The 24074-nt window shown below is 50.8% G+C and overlaps 1 protein-coding gene across 7 annotated transcripts in view, besides 2 other annotated features; it reads left to right on the forward strand.

The window, feature by feature from the left end:
• The window catches only part of ALPL (alkaline phosphatase, biomineralization associated), a 69427-nt gene that overhangs the window by 28362 nt on the left and 16991 nt on the right, over window positions 1–24074 (forward strand). For 3 of the 7 annotated variants that reach the window (NM_001369805.2, NM_001369804.2, NM_000478.6), the window contains exons 2-4: window positions 16633–16797; window positions 23281–23400; window positions 23752–23867. In NM_001369805.2, coding sequence (NP_001356734.1) covers window positions 16737–16797; window positions 23281–23400; window positions 23752–23867 — 297 coding nt within the window. In that variant the 5' untranslated portion in view covers window positions 16633–16736. Of the gene's footprint in view, window positions 1–13924; window positions 14084–16632; window positions 16798–23280; window positions 23401–23751; window positions 23868–24074 lie in introns of those variants that run through there. The other 4 variants (NM_001369803.2, NM_001127501.4, XM_017000903.2 and 1 more) reach the window with 4 other exon arrangements.
• Window positions 111–628: an enhancer, noted in NCBI's record as "H3K27ac-H3K4me1 hESC enhancer chr1:21863949-21864466 (GRCh37/hg19 assembly coordinates)". NCBI's record gives its function as "activates a minimal SCP1, AML or CMV promoter by ChIP-STARR-seq in naive H9 embryonic stem cells {active_cell/tissue: H9 hESC(naive)}" and the evidence as "EXISTENCE:reporter gene assay evidence [ECO:0000049][PMID:30033119]".
• Window positions 629–1147: an enhancer, noted in NCBI's record as "H3K27ac-H3K4me1 hESC enhancer chr1:21864467-21864985 (GRCh37/hg19 assembly coordinates)". NCBI's record gives its function as "activates a minimal SCP1, AML or CMV promoter by ChIP-STARR-seq in naive H9 embryonic stem cells {active_cell/tissue: H9 hESC(naive)}" and the evidence as "EXISTENCE:reporter gene assay evidence [ECO:0000049][PMID:30033119]".

The following is a 24074-nucleotide window of genomic DNA, read 5'->3' on the forward strand; positions in this document are numbered from 1 at the left end:
AAATTATAAGCCCAGAGGAGCTGACCCAGGAGGGAGAGGCCAACGTGACTGAAGCCCCTCACTTTGTGGAGCGGGCACTCTGTCTAGATACAAGAGGCCCCCAGGAAGCTGCGATCACGGGAAAGTACACAGGGAGCTGAGAGAGCAGCATGACATGAGGACCAGCCACAGGGCAGCAGCCAGGCATGGCTTCCTGCAGCTCTCATTGCCAGAACCACCCCCCCCACCGCCATCCCCCTACACCCCAGCAGAGTGAGCTCATGCAGCCCCACTGAGGCAGGGCTCCCTGTGCCTGGGATGGCTGAGGCACGAGCTCTGCCATTGGTGACCGAGGTTGTCCTGGCATGTGACTGAGATGGGGGTGGCACGTACACTGGACATGGAGCTGGACGGACCTGGCCTGAATCCCAGCGCTCCCACGTGGTTGCTTTGTGACCCTGAACCTCCCTCCTGTTCTGAGCCTTGGTTTTTCCTCCTGAGCCGGAGCTGATCATTTGCACTTCACTGGAATTCGAAGACTGGGTGAAAAGCCCCCGGCGCGTAGTAGTTGCTCCATAGAGTTTCTCCCTCTTCCTCTTTGGGTCCTGTTAGTAGCTATGTGACCTTGGCCCAGTTCCTTGACTTTTCTGTACACTGGGAGCAATGAGGGCGTTGGTGTGAGGACCAGATGGCTTTGCGTGTAAAGTGCTTAGAGCAGTGCCCGGCACACTCGTGATCACTGTTACTTCTGGCTAACACCTATTGTTTAATGCGTACCAGGCCCTGGGTCTTTCTCTCCTTGTTTATTGTCTCACTGAATTCTTGTTCCTCCAGTGACGTAGGCTCTCACCAGGATGGTCCCCATTTGACGGGTGAGGTGGTGTGCCCAAGGTCAATGGGGGCCTGCTGAGCTGCATGCCCTTGGGTGGGACCTCACCTCCATAGGCCCCAGTTTCCTGTCTGGGGCTCTCGGCGTCAGCCCTGCCCTACTATGTCCCAAGGTCGCCGCGGAGATCAAACGCAAAAGCCACCGGAGCCTTCTGTGGCCGGCTGGAGCGTCCTCTGGGAATGCGAGGAACGCTGTTATCTGGAGCCCAGCTGCCCTGAGCACTGTCTCTGGGAACACCCGCGTCCTTCCTCCTCTGATCTGAGCCCTCTGCGCCCGCCACCCAGGGATTCGGCTTGTGCTGGCCGCTGCCCAGCAAGCTACAAGTTCATTGTCCCTTTTCCCACAGCCCGGCGCCTCCTCAGCCTCCTCTCACAGGGCCTGCGTGGGGCCATCTGCACAATGGACACATCCTCTGCTAGGGGGAGGGGAGTGGGGAGAGCCGGGATTGGCCAATGCCCTGTCTTGAGGATGAGTTGAAGGAGGGGATTATGGGTGGGGGTGGCCAGGGTGCGCCCACCTGGCCGGGGGCAGAGCCAGGTCTTGAATGCCAGGTCTTGAATCTGGGATCCTCCCCTCCCTGCCACTGCAAGCCCCAAGTGAGTTGCACTGCAGGGCTGGCTACAAGATACCGTGCAAAGATCAGAAGAGACTTGGACCCTAGATGTGACATTCTCTTGCTGTGTGACCTCTGGCAAGTCACCTCACCTCTCCTGTAAAGTTATGATTATAGGAAGCCCTCCCACTGGGAACCGTGGTGCAGATACAATGAAATAACATTTGGGAACAGAGTGTAGTGAGTGTGAATCAAATAGCAGCTGCACGCAATCCCTTCATCTGCAAAAGTATAATGTGTCTGTGTAATGTACATATTGCAGAGAGGGCAAATGGTGGTTTGTTTCCAGTCTTGCCTCCTGTTTGAGGAGTTTATGCTTAGTCCTGGGAGACAGAAACATCCCCAAGTAAGGCTGAATTCTGGCTCGCTCACTTACTGGCTGTGTGACCTTGGGCATGCTCCTTAATCTCTCTGTGCTTCTGTTTTGTCATCTGTAAAATGGGGATAATAATAGTGCTTACCTTGAAGGTTGTTGTGGGGATCAAGTGAGTTAATATAGGTAAAGTGTTTAGAACAATGCCTGGCACATAATAAGGTCTATGAAAAGGTTTGTTATTATTAATCTTATGAATACGATGACAAAATATGTAAAATAGGATTTTTCTAAAATAGTCTCAGTTTGAAATATTTTCATCAGTTGCCGCAAATCACTAATGTACGGAAGTCCAAGACATTGGCATCCAAGCTGCGCCTTGAACACTGCCTTGCCTTTCCAGTAATTGCCCCCCAAATCCTCAGCTGGTTAGTGGGGAGACCTATCCCTGCCCCTGATGTGCTGTGTGACACTGGGGAGGTTGTGTACCCTCTCTGTGTCTTCCTTTTCTTTTTCCTTTTTTTTTTTTTTTTGAGATGGAGTCTCACTCTGTCACCCAGGCTGGAGTGCAGTGGCACGATCACAGCTCATTGCAAGCTCCACCTCCCGAGTTCACACCATTCTCCTGCCTCAGCCTCCCGAGTAGCTGGGACTACAGGTGCCCGCCACCCAGCCCAGCTAATTTTTTGTATATTTTTAGTAGAGACAGGGTTTCACCGTGTTAGTCAGGATGGTCTCGATCTCCTGACCTCGTGATCTGCCCACCTCTGCCTCCCAAAGTGCTGGGATTACAGGCTTGAGCCACCGCGCCCGGCCTGTGCCTTCCTTTTCTTGTTGTTTGTGAGAGCAAGGATGGGCCGGCCATGTCTCCTAGTACCAGGGAGGCTCCCCCTGCAGAGGGCTGAGGGAAGTGCTGGAGGAGGTGGTTGGCGAACACCGCAGATGTAGTGCGTGCGCCACCCTCCCCCACCGCTTTCTGTACTTGGCATCTAGGCTTGGCACAGAGTGAGGTGGCCTGGGGCAGAACATGTCCTTTCCATGGCATGGCAGAAGGCTGTGTGCCTGCAAAGCAGCCATGCTCCGCCCCCGACCCCTGCCTGGGCACTGCAGGCCCCAGGCATGGTGTCTCTGGGCCCTGCTATCTCCCTCCCCTGCGATCTCCCTACTGCGCCTCCCTGCTGCTTCTCTCCTGCCACTAGTCCTCTGGCTTCAGTCCTCTGCCCACAGAGTTGGTTTGGGGCATCATGACCGTCCTGGAGCCTCAGGGACCCCCAGAGAAGCTTTGGCTTCTCTGAACCCAGACCCTCAGGGTTTCTGATTCCAGCTCTGCTGTGTGGCCTTGAGTAAGTGACAGTCAGAGCCTCACCCTCCTCACCTGTAAAATGGAGCTGGCAATGGGGCATGTAGTGAGATGAGGCATGCAGAGGGCCTGCTCTCCACCAGGCCGTGCTTGGGGAGCAGAGCCCTTTGTGGTGGGTCCAGGCTGCCCCTCTGTCCTGAATGCAAGCCGCCTGCTCGTGCCTTTCTCCCTGAACCCCAAACTCCACACATTCCTGCCTCCTTGCCTTTAAACACTCAGGTCCTGTTGGGAGTGTCCTCTCTCTCTCTCTGCTCATCTCAACCCCATCATCCTTCCAGCCTGGTGCTCGACCCACCCCCACGGACACTTCTGGCCCATACCCTGTCCTAGACTTTCTCTCTCTCCCCTTCAAGATGGAAAGGAAGTGTCAGGCTACCTGGCAGGTTACTCCTTTCTTCCCAAGTGAGTGTGTGAGGGAGAGAGAGATCTGGTTCTCTTTGGAGATGGGAGCCCTTTGACTGTAAGAATAGGACCTCTGCCGCTTAAGAACAGGCCCTTTGAAGGGAAAGTACTCAGCAGGCAGGTGAGCTTCTGGGTTCTAGAGTCTCAGAGCTGGAAGGACTGTCTGCAGCCATCCAGGTGAACAGGTCTCTGGGAAATCCCAAAGCATATGGTGGCTTGATCGAGTGGGCGGGGAAGGGTCCATCCGTTCTCTGCTCCAGCCCCTCATCTGCCCCACTTGCCCATCTCTGCCCCGCAGTCCATCCACCTCATTTGCTCCCCCTCCCCATAACCCTAGCTCCTGACTGACATTCACTCAGCACCTACCACATCCCAGCCTCCGTTTTACACCCTTGTGTGTATGAAGGCATCCTTACAACAACGCAGTGGCTTCTATTAGGTGTGGAGGGGTGAGGTCACCTGCTCTGAGCTGCCCAGCTGGTGAGGGGCAGAGGCAGGATCAGAATCCAGGCAGCCTGGCTCCAGCATCCATCTTCACTGCTGCTGAGCTGTCTCTTCAGCCACCCACCCTCTGACCCCATCATCCTTCCACCTAGCGACATTCCCTGGCCACCCGGCCTGTGCCGGCCTCTGCCAGCCACGGGGCTGCTGCCATCAGCAGAGCAGGATTCCAGCTCCCTAGGAGCTCACCACGGTGAGAGGGTGACAACCTATGATTCTCTAAGGCTCTGATTAATTTCACCAAGGGCTTCATGGCACTGGGTGCTGGGAGCTTGGGGAGGAGCCGAAACTGCTGTCTGGGCTGGGGTAGGGTAGGGAGAGGGCAGGGGGAGGGATTCATTGGTTGGACAGCATGGGACATTCTAGTCTGGGAAGCACAGAGTGCAGAGGTGTTGAGGCTGGGAGCGCTCAGGGGACAGCTGGGTTCTCATCAAAGCCCTAAAGATGCAGTGGCTTGGCACCAGGCCTCTGGGGTACTTCCACGTCTGTTTCCTGCCAGGATGGGGTGCTGTCAATGGCTAGAAGTCTGAGCCTTACTATAATCCCCAGCACTGGCCCACTGCCCTCTAGGGAAGTCCTTCCTTGGATCTGACCTGCAGCCCACTCTGAAACCACCACACATTCCTGCGCAAGCACTTCATCCAGCTCTTCATGACAGCCATAAATAACTTCCTCCAGTAATGAATACAGTCCTGGCCAGCAAGGCTTGCCAGAGATGCTGGGCTTGGCGGAGAGAGGAATTCCATGTCCCTTCCCTATGACTCTGCAGCTGAAATGTTACTGGGCTGGTCTTCAGCAGGGCTCCCTCCCTAGGCAGCTATGCAGGTGCCCCCCAGCCCCTGCCTCATTCCTCATGCCCACCAGGGACACAAGGGCAACTCAGCACTCCTCTCTAGCCACAGCTCCTTGGAAGAGCCCAGAAGGCCCAGCTGACAGGCTAGGGGATGCTGGCTCCAAGCTGACTCAGTTCCCTATGTGTGCCTCTGGTGGGGAGCAGCTGAGAGATGCAGGGTCTGCTTATAGTGGTTCCTCTCACCGGGCAAGGCTTTCCTCCTCTTTAGGCCTCAGTCTTCCCATTTGGACAATGGGATGATCTCTAAGACAAAGTTTCCCAAATGAATCTGCTCAGAAAATGACTTGTTAAAAATATAGCTTCCAGCCAGGCGCAGTGGCTCACGCCTGTAATCCCGGTGCTTTGGGAGGCCGAGGCGGGCGGATCACGTGAGGCCAGGAGTTCAAGATCAGCCTGGCCAACATGGTGAAACCCTGTCTCTACTAAAAACAAAAATTAGCCGGGCATGGTGGTGGGCCTGCAATCCCAGCTACTAGGGAGGCTAAGGCATGAGAATCGCTTGAACTCTGAAGGCGGAGGTTGCAGTGAGCCGAGATTGCGCTACTGCACTCCAGCTTGGGTGACAGAGCAAGACTCCATCCCCCCAATCCCCCCACCAAAAAAATACAGCTTCCAGCTGGGCACAGCGGCTTATACCTGTAATCCAAGCATTTTGGGAGGCTGAGGCAGGAGGATCACTTGAACCCAGGAGTTCGAGACTAGCCTGGGCAGCATAGTGAGACCCCACCTCTATTTTAAAAATGTAAACATTAACCAAATGTGGTAATGTGTGCCTGTAGTCCCAGCTACTTGGGAGGCTGAGGCAGGAGGATCGCTTAAGGCTGCAGTGAACTATGATCGTGCCACTGCACTCCAGCCTGGGCGACAGAGTAAGACCCTGTCTCAAAACAAAAAATAAAAAAACAGCTTCCCAGGCCCTGACCTGGGAGATTCTGACCGAGTAGGTCTGGAATAGGAGAAGTAGGAATTTATTTAGGGGGCTGTTATGTCTTTCTAATCTGTCCTTTTAAACTTGCATATAGTCACATCCCTCCACTAAACCCTTTTTTTCCCCAACACTCCCTTTATTGAAATCTCATCAGCTCCTCCCCAAAAACCTCACGATATAGACAGGGTAGGGACGATTAGCCCCTCGACAACTTTTCACAAATATACACACGTTTAACTACTTCTCAGGTCATGATAAAGACCGGCCGGGCAGAAACACTGTAATCCCAGCTACTCGGGAGCCTGAGGCATGAGAATCACTTGAACCTGGGAGGTGGAGGTTGCCATGAGCCGAGATCACGCCATTGCACTACAGCCTTGGCGACAAGAGTGAAACTCCATCTGAAAAAAAACAAAACAAAACATTTCCATTGCCCCAGGAAGTTCCTTCATGCACCGCCTAGTCAATCCTCCTCCCAAGGTAACCACTTGGGAATAAGACTTTTTCCATAAGCACCTCAAGTGATTTTTGTGGCTCGGGGCATTTGGGAAATCGCAAAAGACCTTCCCAGCCTGGACAGTCTGGGGCTGCGTGCTCTAGACCGGGGGCTCCCTAAGGGCAAATACCTGACCCTGTGAGTCCTGCCAGGTACAAGCTGGGGCATACCAGCTGATGCTCCCTGGAGGCACATCAGTTTATTAGGCTGCTTGGTAGAGCCTTGGAGGGTGTCCTTGGAGCAGGCCTGGGAGCTGGGTGGGCTTGGATGGGGAAGGCCCCCGGCTGAGCTGAGGTGGAGAGAGCTTGGCACAGGGGTGTCCCTGGGTAGGTCCCACATGGAGGCCTGTGCAGGGCCTGGCCCAGTACCTGCCATCGATGTGACCTCTTCACCATGGCCAAGTGGACCTCCATTTTCTCACCTGTAAAGGGGGACAGCTCTGTCTCACTCTCAGGGTTGTTAATGAGGACACAGCAGGTCAGGTGTGTCACAGTCAGCACCTGGTGCACCGTAGTTCTTGAATGGGAAACCAATGTTAGACGCCAAAGGAAACAGTTTCGGAGGTGCAGGGACTGACCCAGCAACACACACCTGGGAAGTGGTGGAGCTTGGGCTTGGATCAGATTTGCTGGCTGTGTGACAGCTCACCCAGTGACTTCATTGCTAGGCCTTGGTTTCAAAATGTGGTGACTGAGAGTGGTGCTAAGGCCCTAAGTTTGGGTCACACTCTCACCTAAGTGAGAACCTGACCAAAAAGGGGGAATTTTAAAACAAAATTATGAGCTGGGCGTGGTAGCTCACACCTGTAATCCTAGCACTTTGGGAGGCCGAGGCATGTGGATTGCCTGAGCTCAGGAGTTCAAGAATAGCCTGGGCAACATGGTGAAACCCCGTCTCTACTAAAAAATACAAAAAAATCAGCTGGGCATGGTGGCATGCGCCTGTAGTCCCAGCTACTCAGGAGGCTGAGGCACGAGAATTGCTTGAACCTGGAAGGCGGAGGTTGCAGTGAGCTAAGACCGTGCCACTGCATGCCAGCCTGGGCGACAAAGTGAAACTGTCTCAAAACAAAAACAAAATTATGAGAGGCTGTTGTTTTGGACTAAATGCATACACTAGGCCCCAAGAGACCAGACGAAACCTAAATAGAGTCACTTGTGCTAAATGTGATATCATCAAACTAAAACTTTAAAAAGAACACATAAATGCTAAAACCAGGTTTTGTTTTGTTTTTTTTTCTTGTAAACAGGACATTCCAACATTAAAAAAAATACCCTCTAACCCTTAAAAAAAATAACCTAAAGTCTTTATTCCCACCTTACAAAACCCACTGTCCTACTGTTTCCCAGTGGGTTTCGAGACCAAATAAGTACATTTACAATGGTGATAGTGACATCAGTGACTCGTTTTGGTCAATGTCTCAAAATTTAAAAAATAACTAAAAGAAGGGAATTATTAAATCAAATCTAGCCTAATGCTGCCTTCTTACATATTTTAAGTTCAGCCTAGCAGTTTCTCTACATTGTAAACTATAAGAAATAGAGGTGTAAACAGACTATAGCCTACACTTGTGCCAATCACCAAGTTTTGGGGGTTTTTTTGTTTTTGTTTTTGTTTTTGTTTTTTTTTAAGACAGAGTCTCACTCTGTCGCCCAGGCTGGAGTACAGCATTGTAATCTCAGCTCACTACAACCTCCGCCACCCGGGTTCAAGCGATTCTCCTGCCTCAGCCACCCAAGTAGCTAGGATTACAGGCGCCTGCCACCATGCCCAGCTAATTTTTGTATTTTTAGTAGAGACAGGGTTTCATCATGTTGGCCAGGCCGGTCTCGAACTCCTGACCTCAGGTGATCCACCCTCCTCAGCCTCCCAAAGTGCTGGGATTACAGGAGTGAGCCACCATGCCCAGCCACCAATTACCAAGTTTTAGCCAATCAAATGTCGCCAACTGTTCAAACCGTGTTCAAATGACAAGTGCTAAGCTGTAACCAATCTGACTGCACCTCACTTTCCTTTTCTGTTCATAAATCTTCTTCTACTAAGTGGCTGCGCTGGTTCCTACTCCGGCTCAGGAGGCTGCCTAATTTGCAGATCGTTCATTGCTCAATTAAACTCTTTTAAATTTATTTTTTTATATTTTATTTTATTTTATTTTGAGACAGAGTCTCGCTCTGTTGCCAGGCTGGAGTACAGTGGCACGATCTCAGCTCACTGCAACCTCTAACTCTCTAGTTCAAGCGATTATCCTGCCTCAGCCTCCCGAGTAGCTGGGATTATAGGCACACACCACCATGCCCAGCTAATTTTTGTATTTTTAGTAGACACGGGGTTTCATCATGTTGGCCAGGATGGTCTCGATTTCCTGACCTCGTGATCCACCCACCTCAGCCTCCCAAAGTGCTGGGATTGCAGGCAATTCTTTTAAATTTAATTCAGCTGAAGTTTTTCTTTTATCAATAGGGCTAATAATCCCCACCCTGCCAGTATCACTAGGATGTTGTGAGGATCTGACGCAATTTGAGTTACGGGAATGTTGAGAAAGAAAAGGGCGTAATGGAGTAACGAGATTAGTTTTCCTGTTATGGTGAGGTCAGTGGCCTTTCTGGGGTCAAGAAGAGGGGACTTTCCTTGGCACCAAGAGGGTAAAAGTGTCTCCTCCTGACCTTGGGTATTTTGGACCATGGGATCTGAGGTGTACCAGGAGACAGGAAGTGTGATCAGAAAAGGCCTGGTCTAATGGTGCACAGCTGTGCATATCCAAGTGGCTTGACCTCTCTGGGCCGTTTCTGAATCTGTGAGATGGGAATCATAACCACTCTCCTGACTTCACAGGATGTTTTAGGAGAGATTGGATCTGGGTTGGGGAGACAATTTTGGAAGCAGAAAAGGCCCCTCCGTGCTGGCAACAGCTCGTCCACCTCCAGCCTGTGTGTGCTGCCTCCTGGGTGACTGCTGGCTTTAGGCCAGCGCCTGGCAGGGCTTCACTAAAGCCTCCGTAGGCTGCTGCTATCTCAGTTCTGAGGTACGGGCCGTGGAGACCCCCAGATTTGGGCTTAAATCCCAACTCCACCATTGCACCTCTGAGCCTCTGTTTCTCTGCAAATGGGGATACTAGTCCCTAGCCCAGATGGGGCCTGGTACACAGTTGGTGCTCAATAAGAGCAGTTCGTCTTCTTCTGAGCATGGGTGCATCCCTCTGGCTGGGGTAAGCACCAACTCAGATTTCTAGGCCCATAGATGGGCTGGAACAGCTGCTGCTGTTAGGGGAAAACCTACTGTGTTACTAGCCAAGGGGTTCCCTTCCATGTTTTTGCCCCACAGGGCACCTGGCACAATGTCTAGCATACAGTAGGTGCTTTGTCCACACTGGCTGGTCAGTTACCTCCAAGCTGACAGAAACTCTGTCCCGTTCCCGACTGTTTCCATAGAACCTAGCACAGAGATACTCAGCAGGTGCTCTGTAGGTGTTTGGGAGTGAGGAATGAATGAACAAAGTTGAATGAACAAGCATCGGGCCCTCCCCCGGGGCTCAAATGGGAGAGAGGAGCTTCGTAGCCTGCTCCCCCTCCCACCCCAGCACCCCGTTTCATCCCTTCTGACTAATCCACAAAGATTAACCCAGGGATAAAGCGGGTCACGGCCACTGACCCAGGGCTTTGGAGCTAGTGTGACCGAGTGTGTGCAGGGCGTGGTGGCTGCTCCCAGGGGCCCTCTTTGCCCCAAGATGGCCCTCCTGTCCCCCATCCTGGATGTGGTCCTCACGGTGGCCCTCAGCCTCCTCCTCCTGGGGCTGATCCTGGGCCTCCTTTGTTTCTTCACTTGCCGCCTGGCCAGGCCGCTCAGGTAGGGGAACTCAGCTGGCCTGACTCCCCCTGCATCCCGCCAAATTCCCTGCCCTAAGCTCGTTCAGCTTCCATTTGTTCTCGTGAGATGGAGCAAGCGGGGCACTCATTTCTCTTACTCTTCATGGTGGGGAAACCAAGGCCCGGAGAGGTTGAGCCCTGGCGTCAGCCTGGGCTTAAATGGCGCATAGTCGAAGACTAGCCAAACCCTCTGTTGGGTTTCCTAAGCTACAAAACGGGGGCTCTTCATCCATATTGTGAGATCAGGGATGTAAACAGCATGGGGCTGAGTGGAACATGAGGGCCTAAGAAATGGTAGTGACACGTTTGTCCCATTCTTCTATCATTTGCCCCAGATCTTCTGAGACCCAGCCCAAGGCTGGCTTTTTGCCCCACTCCAGGATGCTCCCGGGCCCTCTGCCTGGGTTGCTGAATCAGTCCTCAGAGCTAAGGCCTGCCTGGCTCCTCAGCCCCCTGCACTGAACTGCCAAGTAGCTGCTCCTCTGGCGCCACAGCCTAGCCGGGGCTTCTGCACTGGCCATGCGTAATCAGGCTACGGAGGAGCCGGGAGCCTGGCAGAGAAGGGAGGGAGGGGGTGGCGATGGGGCTGACACACACCCGGAGGCCCCATTTTAAGCTGGCAGACATTGGCAGAGGGTGGTGGGCAGCCGGGGCCCCCACAGCCCCAAACTGGGCCCCTCCGCTTCCAGGGCTGCCACAGAGCAGCCAGGAGCCTCTGCGAGGGGGAGGGGTCCTAGGGGTGGGGCCAGCAGGGAGGCTCTGGGTTCTGAAGGCTTTCCCAGGTCCCCACCCTCTCCTTGTCCTGAGCGGAGGCTATGGGAGAAGGCACCTGCCTCCAGGCCAAGCCTATCTCAATGCCTATCCCTGGGGCCAAAATTCAGAGCATCCCAGCCTGAACTGGTGGCACTTATGGAACTGCTACCATGTGCAAGGGCTCGGGATGCAGAGATGGGTAAGATGTTGGTCTTTACGTTCACAGAGCTTCAGGCTAGCAGGGAGGAGAGACAGACCAATAACCGGAAGAATAATCATGTGGGGCTGGATGAGCCTTTCAGTGCTCCCGGGTCACTACACTTTTATTTTTCTTTATTCGCTCACCTGTTTTGGACCCTCAGTGCAGAGAGAGTGGGATACGTTATCTCACTTAGCACATGACATACCCAAATAAGCTCTCAGTTCTTGTTTTGTTTATTCATTTTTTCCTTTGTCCCTGCTCCCTGCCTCCCCACTGCCATTCCCACAGCTCACCGAAGTCCCTATGCTAATGTACTTAATATGGCCTTGGAGTTGTAAGTGTCCTTGTACGTTACACAGCATTCTGTCCGTGGGGGTGGTTTGCACTTACATACACTGCGTTTGATTCTTTACATTCATCACTCAGTCCTCTGCCTTTAGACCCCACCACGCTGCTGTTTGGACATCTAGTTTTAATACCACTGCCACGCAGACATTGCCTCCACCACTCCTTACTAATTCATTTCCCTAGTTGTGGACGAGACTGCCCCGGCTCCTCACCATCATAAGCCAGTGTTAAAAGGAGTTTGCCAAAGCTTTCTCCAGCGAGTATGATGGTTTCTGCAGGTTCTTGGCATAAAGCCTTTATCAGATTAAGGAAATTCTTTTCAATACCTGGTTTGCTGAGGGCTTCTGTCACATCGTTTTCTGTGACCCCATTCCCTCTCCCTAGGTGAGCACGTCAAGTTTGATCAGGGTGTTAACTGCCACCCCTGTGCCTATGATTCCCAAATTTATACTCTAACCCAGACTTCTTTTTCAAATGCCAGAGCCAAATATTCAGCTGCCTCCTTAGTGTCTCCACTTCTAAAAGACATCTCCAACTCAACATATCCAAAAACAAGTTCCTGATTGTCTCCACCTCACGCCTCAAAAGACCACCCCAAACGCCGAAAGGCTGAATGCTTTTTTCTTTTTCTTTTTTTTTTTTTTCTGAGATGGAGTCTCACTCTGTTGCCCAGGCTGGACTGCAGTGATGCGATCTCAGCTCACTGCAAACTCTGCTTCCTGGGTTCAAGTGATTCTCCTGCCTCAGCCTCTCAGGTAGCTGGGACTACAGGTGCACACCACCATGCCCAGCTAATTTTTGTAGAGAGAGTTTCACCATGTTGGCCAGGCTGGTCTCAAACACCTGACCTTAAGGGATCCACCCGCCTCAGCCTCTCAAAGTGCTGGGATTACAGGTGTGAGCCATCGCACTTGGCTCGGTAGTATATGGCTCAGAAACATTGCCATTTACAATAGTTCCCCAAAAAGCAAAATTCTTAGGTATAAATCTGGATTCAGAGTCCAGAATGCTAACCATTACACGATGGAACCCGTAGGTATAAATCTAAGAAAACATATCCAAGATCTACAGGCTGAAGACTACAGAGTGCTGATAAAACCGAAGAACTCTGACTGAATGAGTGGAGAGACGTGGTGTCTTCATGACTGGGCAACTCCATGTGGTATAGACGTAAACCCTCCCACATTGATCTGTGGATTTAATACCATACCTATCAAAAACACAGTGGTGGAGGACAGATCAGGGATCGCCAGGTTTAGGGATGGGGGGATTGTGTAACTATAAAGAACGCAAGAGAGATTTTTGGGGTGGCAGAGCTGTTCTGGGTCCTGACGGTGGCGGTGGTGGTTACATAAATCTATCCATGTGTCAAACGTCAGAACACTCATTTTACACTTGGGGGCAACAGAAATCCCTCCCTCTGGAGGGGGTGACTGATGGTAACCTGATTGCTAATTCTGGAATCAGGAGCCCTGTGGTCAGGTTTCTGCTCTGCAACTTCCTGTTGGTAACCTTGGGCAAGTCTCCGTCCAGAGCCTTGGTTTTCTCATCTGTAAAAGGAGATGATAGGTCCTTTTCTGTCCACTGCATAGCTGATTAGTGAAACATCATGGTGAAATTCTTTATGAACTATGGAGTGCAGCACATAGACTTGCTTTCATTTTGTCAGTATCCTTTATAGATTGTTCATGTAAGCTCCCAAAGAGTAGTATTTATTTTATTGAAATAAAATGCACGTAGAGAAAAATGTGTGTATCATACATTGACAGCTGAACCCACCGTGTAACCAGCACCCACCCACCCAGATCAATCATAAACCGAACCGCACCAGCACCCCAGCAGCCCGTTCCCGTTTCCGTACCCTCCACGTGGAGCCTCCGTTCTGTCTCCCAACGCCCTGGGTTAGTTTTTATACTTTCTGTCATCGGAATCACACTGTAAGTGCTCTTGGGTTTAGCTTCCTTTGCTCAAGCTTACCTTGTGCGATTCATTCATGTTGTTGTGAGGAGCTGTGGATCATCCATTCTCCTTGCTGTCTGTGGTGGTTTCTGTGTTGTGAACACACACAATGTATTATCCAGCCTGCCGTAGATGGAGGCAGTTTTGAAGCCATTATAAACAGGGCTGATGTGCACATTCTGCTGGAGAGAAACGGGTCCCAGGGTACAGGTAGGATGATCAGCTTCGGTAGATCCTGCCGGTTTTCCCATGCGCTGTGCCTGTCTGCACTCCACCAACGGCGAGCGGACCTTCCGGTAGTTAAACATCTTCACGAACTCTTGGACTTTCCTGCACACACAGAGAAGATAATTTTGGATGGCTCTTCCCTTCCCCCCACAACCTTCCTTAGGGCACTGGCTTTCAACTGATGTAAATATTTACTATGCCAAGCACTAGGAGGGCAGAGACAAACAAGACAAAGTCCTCACACTTAGAAACTCCCGGTGTGGCAGCTGAGATGGCCCAGGAAAGAACTATATTACCTTCAAAAAGAGAGGTACATGCGATGTTTGAGGTGGCATGAAGCTCAGTGGTGTTATATTGGAATGAGTGAGTGACCATCCTGGAGCCTTCCTGAAAGAGGTGACTTCATTTTTAAGTGATTTTAAATAATAGTTTAATGAATTAGTATTTCGTATTCAGTTAATAACATTTTTCTGATTTTAGGATTTGCTATAGAAATATTTGGAAACCGTAAAGTAGAACAAAAAAAAAAATGTAGGAATCATCTGAAATTCCAAATTCTACCACTCACAGTTAAGTGTTGTTAGATGTTAGATGTGGGATATTGCCTTTTAATTTCCACTCTGCGCCGCTACCCCCAGCCCCTACCCCAGAGCCGTCACTTCTGGCACTGGAGCGCAGCTTGCGTGGTTTTTTTTTTTTTTTTTTTTTTTTTTGAGACAGAGTCTCGCTGTCGCCCAGGCTGGAGTGCAGTGGCGCGATCTCGGCTCACTGCAAGCTCCGCCTCCCGGGTTCACGCCATTCTCCTGCCTCAGCCTCCTGAGTAGCTGGGACTACAGGCGCCCGCTACCTCTCCCGGCTAATTTTTTGTATTTTTAGTAGAGACGGGGTTTCACTGTGTTAGCCAGGATGGTCTCGATCTCCTGACTTCGTGATCCGCCCGCCTCGGCCTCCCAAAGTGCTGGGATTACAGGCGTGAGCCACCGCGCCCGGCCATTTGCGTGTTTTTAAGGTTGAATCAAGATCCTTCTTCTGGTGGTAGTGGTTTCTTTTTCTCCCTTCCCTTCCCTTCCCTTTCCTCCCCTTCCCTTTCCTCCCTCCCCTCCCCTCCCCTCCCTCCTTCCTTTTCTCCTTTTCTTTTTCTCTATTTTTAAATTAAAAAAAAAAATCTTGGATGGGCGCGGCAGCTCACACCTGTAATCCCAGCACTTTGGGAGGCCAAGGTGGGCAGATCACCTGAGGTCGGGAGTTCGAGACCAGCCTGACCAACATGGACCCCATCTCTACTAAAAATACAAAATTGGCCGGGCATGGTGGCGCAAGCCTGTAATCCCAGCCACTCGGGAGGCTGAGGCAGGAAAATTGCTTGAACCCGGGGGGCGGAGGTTGCAGTGAGCCGAGGTTGTGCCATTGCACTCCAGCCTGGGCAACAAGAACAAAACTCCGTCTCAAAAAAAAAAAAAAGAAAAAGAAAAAATCTTTTTCCTTTGAGCTGGAGCTGCAAAGAGAAGAATTTTTAAAAAGAAAAGAAACTTTTAAAAAATTAAAATACAAAAATTTTTCTTAGAGACAGGGTCTCGCTGTGTTGCCCAGGCTGGTCTCCAACTCCAGGCCTGAAGCGAACTTCCTCCAGCCTCAGCTTCCCAAGTAGCTGGGATTACAGGCATGTTACCACCATGCCTGGCTTTTTTTCTTTAAACAACTTTTAAAAAATGTTTTATTTTGTTTTTACTTAACATATAATAATTGGACTAGAGTGGTGTCTTATCTGTCACAACACTTTTCTAACGGTAGAGTGTGTATTACTGCTGTTTCCCACAACAAATGGTGTCATATCTTGGTTTTGGCTGAAGCAATAACATTTCCCAGTGAAACTCTTGCCACTTAAAATTCTTTGTCTTGTAACTCATGTGCAACAGGGTTAGTACATTTCTCAGCTGCCAGTGGGGTTGTTCTTTGTGATTTAACAGGAAGACCACAGTGTAAAAACATTCTTATGCCATTAATACATGCTTGTTTTAGGCTACTTGGAAAATTCAAAAAAATAAAGAGGAAATAATCATTCATAGTCCTACCACCCAGAGAAAACCACAGTTAATGTTTTGGTGTATTTCCTTCCAGTTTTTTTTTCCACCTAAACTCTTCAATTACATCCGACTTTAAATATATATATATTTTTTAAAAATTGTAAAGATAATACTGTATCTCAGCACAAAAGAAAATTTTGGAAATGCAGAAAAGACAATGGAAAAGAAAAATCAGTTGTCTGTGATGTCACCACCCAGAAATGGCCACACTTACCAGCCAGTTTTTTCACATATGTGACTCCTACCATTTTTATATCTCTTACCATAAACGACAAGCTCTAGAAGAGAATGTAGCAAATGTAGGGGTCCTGAAAGAAGGGGTGCACTCTGTTTTGTCCCTGATGTTCCTGGGACACAGGTAATTAAAAGGCTGAAGACCGAGTGCTGTAGAACAGGGCTTCTCAAGGTGTGGTCCGCAAAGCAGCAAAGCAGCAGCTTCTCCTGGGAGCTTATTAGAAATACAATCGGAGCCTCACCAGTGGGCCGGGAATCTGTTGTAACAAGCCCTTGGGGGATTCAGATGCTTGCTCTCCTTACAGTTTGAGAAACACTGCACCAAAAGATTGGACTCTGGGAGGTAGGGGGCTTCAGATGAATTGAAAGTGGAAATTCACTTAGGAAATGGGACGGAACTGCTTTGCAGCATGGAACTCATTGACACTGACACAGCTGTTTGTGTGGTTAAGCTTCCTGAGACAGGGACCAGCTGGGTTTGGCATCCCAATGTTGAGCCCCATGCCTGGTCTGTAATAGGTGCTCACCGAATACTTGTTGAATGAATCAAGGAATGAATAAGTGAGTGAAAAAGGATCTCTAGAGCTGTGCCCCACATGCCTCTTTTTCTCTTTTTTTAATTTCTAGGATTGGAACATCAGTTAACATCTGACCACTGCCAGCCCACCCCCTCCCACCCACGTCGATTGCATCTCTGGGCTCCAGGGATAAAGCAGGTCTTGGGGTGCACCATGATTTCACCATTCTTAGTACTGGCCATTGGCACCTGCCTTACTAACTCCTTAGTGCCAGGTATGCTTGGGGACACAGGTGGAGGCATAAAAAGGTGGTGCAGATGGGGTATGATGAGGGCAGTGTCTATGTTTTAAGGTCCCAGAACCATCCAAAGTATTTAAGAGCTGAAAACAGTGTTCAGAGCAGGAAACCTCAGCCCTGCTACTTGCATGTGTTAGTTGGATAGGTCACTCTTTTCCCATATATATATATATACACACATACACATATATGAAATATATATATACAAGGAAAATATATATATACAAGGAAATATATATTTTCCACATATATATTTTTCCATATATATATTTCATATATATATTTTTCCATATATATATTTCATATATATTATATATATTCTTTCTTAATTTTTTTTTTTTTGAGACAGGGTTTCGCTCTGTTGCCCAAGCTAGAGTGCAGTGGCGCCATCTTGGCTCACTGCAAGCTCTGCCTCCTGGGTTCACGCCATTCTCCTGCCTCAGCCTCCCAAGTAGCTGGGACTACAGGTGCCCGCCACCGCGCCAGGCTAATTTTTTGTATTTTTAGTAGAGATGGGGTTTCACCGTGTTAGCCAGGATGGTCTCGATCTCCTGACCTCATGATCCGCCTGCCTCGGCCTCCCAAAGTGCTGGGATTACAGGCGTGAGCCACCGCGCCTGGCCTGTCTGTCTGTCTGTCTGTCTGTCTGTCTTTCTTTCTTTCTTTCTTTCTTTCTTTCTTTCTTTCTTTCTTTCTTTCTTTCTTTCTCTCTTTCTTTCTTTTTCTTTCTTTCTTTCTTTCTCTTTTCTTTCTTTCTTTCTTTCTTTTCTTTTTCTTTCCTTTCTTTCCTTTCTTTTCTCTCGCATCCGAGTGAAGAGACCACCAAACAGGCTTTGAGTGAGCAACAAGGCTGTTTATTTCACCTGGGTGCAGGCGGGCTAAGTCCAAAAAGAGAGTCAGCCAAGGGAGATATGGGTGGGGCCGTTTTATAAGATAGGGGTAGGTAAAGGAAAAATTACAGTCAAAGGGGGGTTCTCTGGCGGGCAGGAGTGGGGGTCACAAGGTGCTCAGTGGGGGAGCTTTTTGAGCCAGGATGAGCCAGGAGAAGGAATTTCACAAGGTAATGTCGTCAGTTAAGGCAAGGACCGGCCATTTTCACTTCTTTTGTGGTGGAATGTCATCAGTTAAGGTAGGAACAGACCATTTAAATTTCACTTCTTTTGTGATTCTTCAGTTACTTCAGGCCGTCTGGATGTATATGTGCAGGTCACAGGGGATATGATGGCTTAGCTTGGGCTCAGACGCCTGACACTTTCTTTTTGAGACAGAGACAGACTCTCACTCTGTTTGCCCAGGATGGAGTGCAGTGACGTGATCTCAGCTCACTGCAACCTTCGCCACCCAGGTTCAAGTGATCCTCCTGCCTCAGCCTCCTGAGTAGCTGGGATTACAGGCGTGCGCCGCAACACCCGGCTAATTTTTTGTATTCTTATTAGAGACGGGGTTTCATCATGTTGGCCAGGCTGATCTCGAACTCCTGACCTCAAGTGATCCACCCGCCTTGGCCTCCCAAAGTGCTGGGATTACAGGTGTGAGCCACTGTGCCCAGCCTTTTTCTTGTCATTTGTAGTTCTCACTAGTGAACTCATCTTCAACAGGAGTTTTTTGTTTTTCTTTTTTTTGAGACAGTGTCTCTCTCTGTCGCCCAGGCTGGAGTGCAGTGGCGCAATCTTGGCTCACTGCAAGCTCCATCTCCCGGGTTCACGCCATTCTCCTGCCTCAGCCTCCCAAGTAGCTGGGACTACAGGTGCCCGCCACCACGCGCAGCTAATTTTTTTGTACTTTTAGTAGAGACGGGGTTTCACCATGTTAGCCAGGATGGTCTCGATCTCCTGACCTCAGGTGATCCGCCTGCCTTGGCCTCCTAAAGTGCTGGGATTACAGGCATGAGCCACCGCACCCGGCCGAGTTTTTTGTTTTTCTGTTGGAGATTCACGCGGAAGTGTTTCCACAGCATGGCATGGTGTTTTCAGGACACTAGGGGTTCAACTAATTCTAGGCCAGTTTTTATGTTGATTTCTTGGTTTACAATTCTTATACTATAAATTCAGATCCCCACTTAGACCTGGCTCAGATTTGACTTGAATTCACATTTCTTATGAATGACTGTCTTTCTCTATCCCTTCCATAGCTCCAAGGCAAAATGTGTACCTTAAAACAGCTTCAGCAGACCTGGTGTGGTGGCTTTAGCAGGCCTGGTATGGTGGCTCACGCCTGTAATCCCAGTGCGTTGGGAGGCTGAGGTGGGAGGATCGCTTGAGTCCAGGAGTTTGAGGACAGCCTGGGCAACATAGTGAGACCTCCATCTCTAGAAACAAACAAACAATTAGCTGGGCATAGTGCTGCATGCTTGTAGTCCTAGCTACTTGGGAGGCTAAGGTGGGAGAATCACTTGAGCCCAGGATTTCAAGATTACGGTGAGCTATAATCAAACCACTCCAGTCTGGGTGACAGAGTAAGACTCTGTCTCATAAAAAGAAACCAGCTTCTGGCCGGGAATGGTGGCTCACGCCTGTAATCCCAGCACTTTGGGAGGCCGAGGTAGGTGGATCACTTGAGGTCAGGAGTTTGAGACCAGCCTATCCAACATGGCAAAAACTCCTCTCTACTAAAAATACAAAAATTAGCTGGGCATGGTGGCGCACTCCTGTAATGCCAGCTACTTGGGAGGCTGAGGCAGGAGAATCACTTGAACCCAGGAGGCGGAGGTTGCAGTGAGCTGAGATTGCGCCACTGTACTTCAGCCTGGGCAACAGAGCAAGACTCCATCTCAAAAAAGAAAAGAAACCAGCTTCAGCCTGAACCTGTACCTGGCTTGCCGTCGCAGGCGTTCCTCTCTGCATCAGCTCCTGTGGGCCCCTCTGGTTTTAGATTCCCTCATCAATGCTGCCTCCTGAGGATTTTCCTTCCCCCTTTTCTTCCTTTTTCAAGCTATGTGCTATTTTTTTTTCCCCAGCATTTCTGTATCTGGAGCTGGAGAAGAGAGCCTTCCTCGGCTCAGTCCATTATGTGGCTAGAAGTCCCCACTTGCCTTCCCCACACTCCAGTGTCTCCATCTGTCCAGTGGGGATGAGTTCCTCCCGCTTAGGGTCATCATGGGAATCACATGGGATAGTCACAGTGTCTGGCAAGGAGTGGATGCTCAGTGAATGTTGGTCTCTTCTCTTAGGACGGCTGTATTTCAGCAGATGAGGAGATGGGGTGCAGTGGGGCACTGAGCCTGAGCTGCTGAGCTCTCAGGCCATTGCTGCGTCTGAGACCTCGTGGTGCCATTTGCATCCCTGGGGGACCAAGGTCACTCTGGGACGGGGTCCCTGCCTTCTCAGCACTTACAGCCCACCTGGGTGAAAGATGAACTAATGGATGAAAAGGGAAAAGGTGAAAAAGTGACAACATGAAAAATCTTCAAACGTTCAGCAGTTCAACTTTTTGTATCTGCTGTTGCCAGGCTGGAGTGCAGTGGCACAATCATGGCTTACTGTAGCCTCAAACTCCTGGCCTCAAGCAGTCCTCCCACCATGGCCTCCAAAAGTGCTGGGATTACAGGATGAGCCACTTCTTCAGCCTTCTTTTTTTTCTTCAATTAGATATAACTTACAGAAAAGGGCACCGATCTTAAATACATAGCCTGAAAAAATTTTGACATATATTTATACCCATGTAACCGCCACCCAGATCAAGACAGAACATTTCTGGTTGTGAGGCATCTGTGGGCTTCCCTGTGCCAACCCCCTCCCAAAGCCAGAGGAGATGCCCAGGCTTACATTGGCCACCAGAGACTTGCTTTGCCTGTTTTGAGCCTCATATAAATGGAATCATATAGTATGTACCGATCAGTGCCCTTTCCCTGGCATTCTATCGTGAGCATTAGCACATATCATTTAGTAGTCTCCAAAAACAATAGCCTCTTGGAATCCAGTTGTCCAGAGCCATTGTTGCTTAAACCAGACTCCAAACCCTTCTCAGGGACAGGCCCTGGGTGGCTCTGGTGAAAAAGACAAGGACTCTGCCCTTGTGGGACTCCAGTCTAGAGAGAACAAGCACTCAACGGAGCAGGGGACCCGGTGGCAGAGGCTGGGCTGAACAAGGGCAACAGGTGTGGGGCGGGCTGATGTCAGCCCAGCCCTGGGACCTCCAAGCTGTTAAGTCAGGTACAGGTTGTAGCGGGTCAGGGTGGGTAGAAGGTCTTCACCACCCAGTGGCACCCAACTGGCCAAAGAGGCTCTATGACCAACAGCACCGTGGTGTGTTTTGAGGAAGGCAGGAGGGAGGCTGGAACCAGCCTGGGCCTGGGGGACCTCTGAGGAAAACCTCTGGCCCCGGCCTTGCCCAGACTTTATCTCATGTCATCCTAGAACTGCCTGTGGATAGCTACGGGTGTCCCATTTCCTGGGGCAGAAACTCTTGTCCAAAGGCACCCTGTCGGGCAGAAGGGCCAAGGTGCTCCCAATTCCCAGTGGGGACTGCGTGGGGACATCTGAAATTGATGCCCTCAGCAGACACTTCCAGAAGAGAGAGGGTGGACCTGGGGCTGTCGGGATGAGGGTAGTGGGCTGAGGGATTGGGGTGGTGGTGACGTAAGGGGAGGCCTCTTGGGGAGGGGCGTGGGGTGTGCTTGGGTCCAAAGCTAGAGGTGCACTGCAGCACCCTGGCGGCTCCTCGCCTGTGCTCTGCGCCTATGCTAGGCTGGGGCAGAGCCACGGCGACGCGTGAGTTTCCGGTTCTCCCACTTGGGGCCCTAATCTCAGGCTCTCCATTTCCTAATGTGGAGGAGACACTGGTGCCCACCTGCCAAGGCAGTTGAGAGGAATAAGAGAAGCTGTGTGGGGGGTCCCTGGCATCTCGCCCAGAGCCAGTGCGTGTGTGAGGAAGGAGGGCTGTTCTTTACCCACGGCCACTCCGAGAGCCAGGCACGCGTCGGAGCTGGGCCAAAAGATGAGAATTGTGTCCCCAGCCCACGAACATGCTACACGGCCTTGGACAAGACCCTCCCATTCCTGATCTCTCCTCCCGTTCTGTGCAGTGGGAGGCCTTGAAAGAGGAAACCGCTAGGGAGCCTCCTCTCTAGGCTTCTGAGCAGATCTGATAGGGCCCTGGGACAGAGGGGAGCCCCGCAGACTCTGGGAGGGACTCCAGCTCCCATAGCCAGGGTCCTGGTCCAGCCCTGGAGACGGGATAATGGGGATGGGAGGCAACTTTTGAGCCTCTCCTGTGGGTCAGGTGTGTCACTTGCCTTATCCGGCCCAGTCCTTAGAGCGACCCTGAGGGGATGATGCCAGCAATGTCATTTAACAGGGGAAGAGACTGAGGCTGAGGGAGGTGACAGAGCTAGTACTTGGAGCAGCTGGGGGTTTTTTGTTTGTTTGTTTTTGAGACGGAGTCTAGCTCTGTCACCCAGGCTGGAGTGCAGTGGTATGATCTCAGCTCACTGCAACCTCCGCCTCCCGGGTTCAAGCAGTTCTCCTGCCTCAGCCTCCTGAGTAGCTGGGACTACAGGTGCACACTGCCACGCCCAGCTAATTTTTCATATTTCAGTAGAGACGGGATATCACCGTGTTGCCCAAGTTGGTCGCGAACTCCTGAGCTCAGGTGATCTGCCTGCCTCGGCCTTCCAAAGTGCTGGGATTACAGGCATGAGCCACCATGCCCAGCAGCTGGGGTTTTAATTGAGGTCTGTCTGGCACTAAAGCTGTGGATTGGTTGCTGGACACACACACACATGAGAAAGAGGGAGAGAGAAAGAAGTGTTCTTAGTTCTCATTTTATCTCAAAACCATAAAGCCCCAGCCAGAAGTCACTATCAGCCAAGAGGGATGGAGGGGGCGATGAGAGATGCAGAATGTCGTCCTTGATAACTAATCCTAACAAGAGTGAGATCACCTGGCTCCTTTAAATTTGACATATTAAGCAAAAGGCAAGCTTCGCTTTCCAGCACTGCTATTAAACCAAGTCAGGTTCCTGCTGAGCCTACTTTAATGAATAAGCTAAGCAGAGTTGATAATTGATGGCTGGCTATATCAGGGGACCCCTTCTGCTGGAAGGAGTTTGTTGAATAGGTTAAACATTACTCTCTTAATTGTGCTAGCACAATTCATTTGCTGCCTTAGCAGCTCATCTCCCTACTGGGTAGAAGGAATGAGCATGGGCTTTGGAGCGAAACCCAGCCCTGCCAGTGTCTGCCTGTGCTGTGTGGCCTTAGGCAAGTTGCTCGTTGTCTCTGAGCCTTGGTTTCTTCATTCTGAGATGTGAGGAGAAGACCCCAGGGTCCACAGGCTTTTCTGGAGGATCTGGATGGCACATATTTATAAACCACAGATGTGTTGTCTGGGTGGGCAACTATTGCACCCACCTCCAAGTTCAGGCATTCCAGCCTGAGCAATCAGAAGTGGGGGGATCTGTACGTCTGGAGATAGGAGGCTATCCTTACCCCGCCAAGTAACTGCCTCTCTCTGTGTTTAGAGAAAGAGAAAGACCCCAAGTACTGGCGAGACCAAGCGCAAGAGACACTGAAATATGCCCTGGAGCTTCAGAAGCTCAACACCAACGTGGCTAAGAATGTCATCATGTTCCTGGGAGATGGTGAGGCCCAGGGGCCTGTGGGAGGGGTGGAACAGGACACCTAGCTAGGAGCCCCGGGAGCCAGGCTGAGTTGAAGGGGGCTGTGTTGAAGGGGCTAGGGCTCTGGAGGAAGGGTGTTTAAAAGGATGAGGGGCCAGGCTGTGGATTCAAGAGGCCTGCTCTGCCAGACAGCCCCCTGAGGATCTGGGGGTGAAGGGAGAGAGGGGCTGCTCACTGACATTTACAGAGCCATGCCCAGTGCCAACTGCCCGAGCCTGCCTTGGTACCGAACTAGAGAGCTTCTGGGTACCCAAGCAGGCTGATTGGAGAGGCAGGAGCACGAGAGACTGAGGCCCCCACTCCCCACTGCAGGGATGGGTGTCTCCACAGTGACGGCTGCCCGCATCCTCAAGGGTCAGCTCCACCACAACCCTGGGGAGGAGACCAGGCTGGAGATGGACAAGTTCCCCTTCGTGGCCCTCTCCAAGGTGAGCCCCATCCCCAAGCCCAGTTCAGGTCTGTATATCCAGTATCCAGGTCGAGCATCTGAACATGACAGCAGCCAGAGGTCCCCTGACCCCCTGAGCCCCCTCCATGCCCAAGCCCACTCCCCACCTGGAGCAGCCACTGCCCTGACTTCTGACACCATAGCATCACTGTACCTGCTTGCGGGTGTGTGTTTAGAGAGAGGGTCT

Source organism: Homo sapiens, chromosome 1 (genome assembly GCF_000001405.40).
Source record: "Homo sapiens chromosome 1, GRCh38.p14 Primary Assembly".
Classification (NCBI taxonomy): domain Eukaryota; kingdom Metazoa; phylum Chordata; class Mammalia; order Primates; family Hominidae; genus Homo; species Homo sapiens.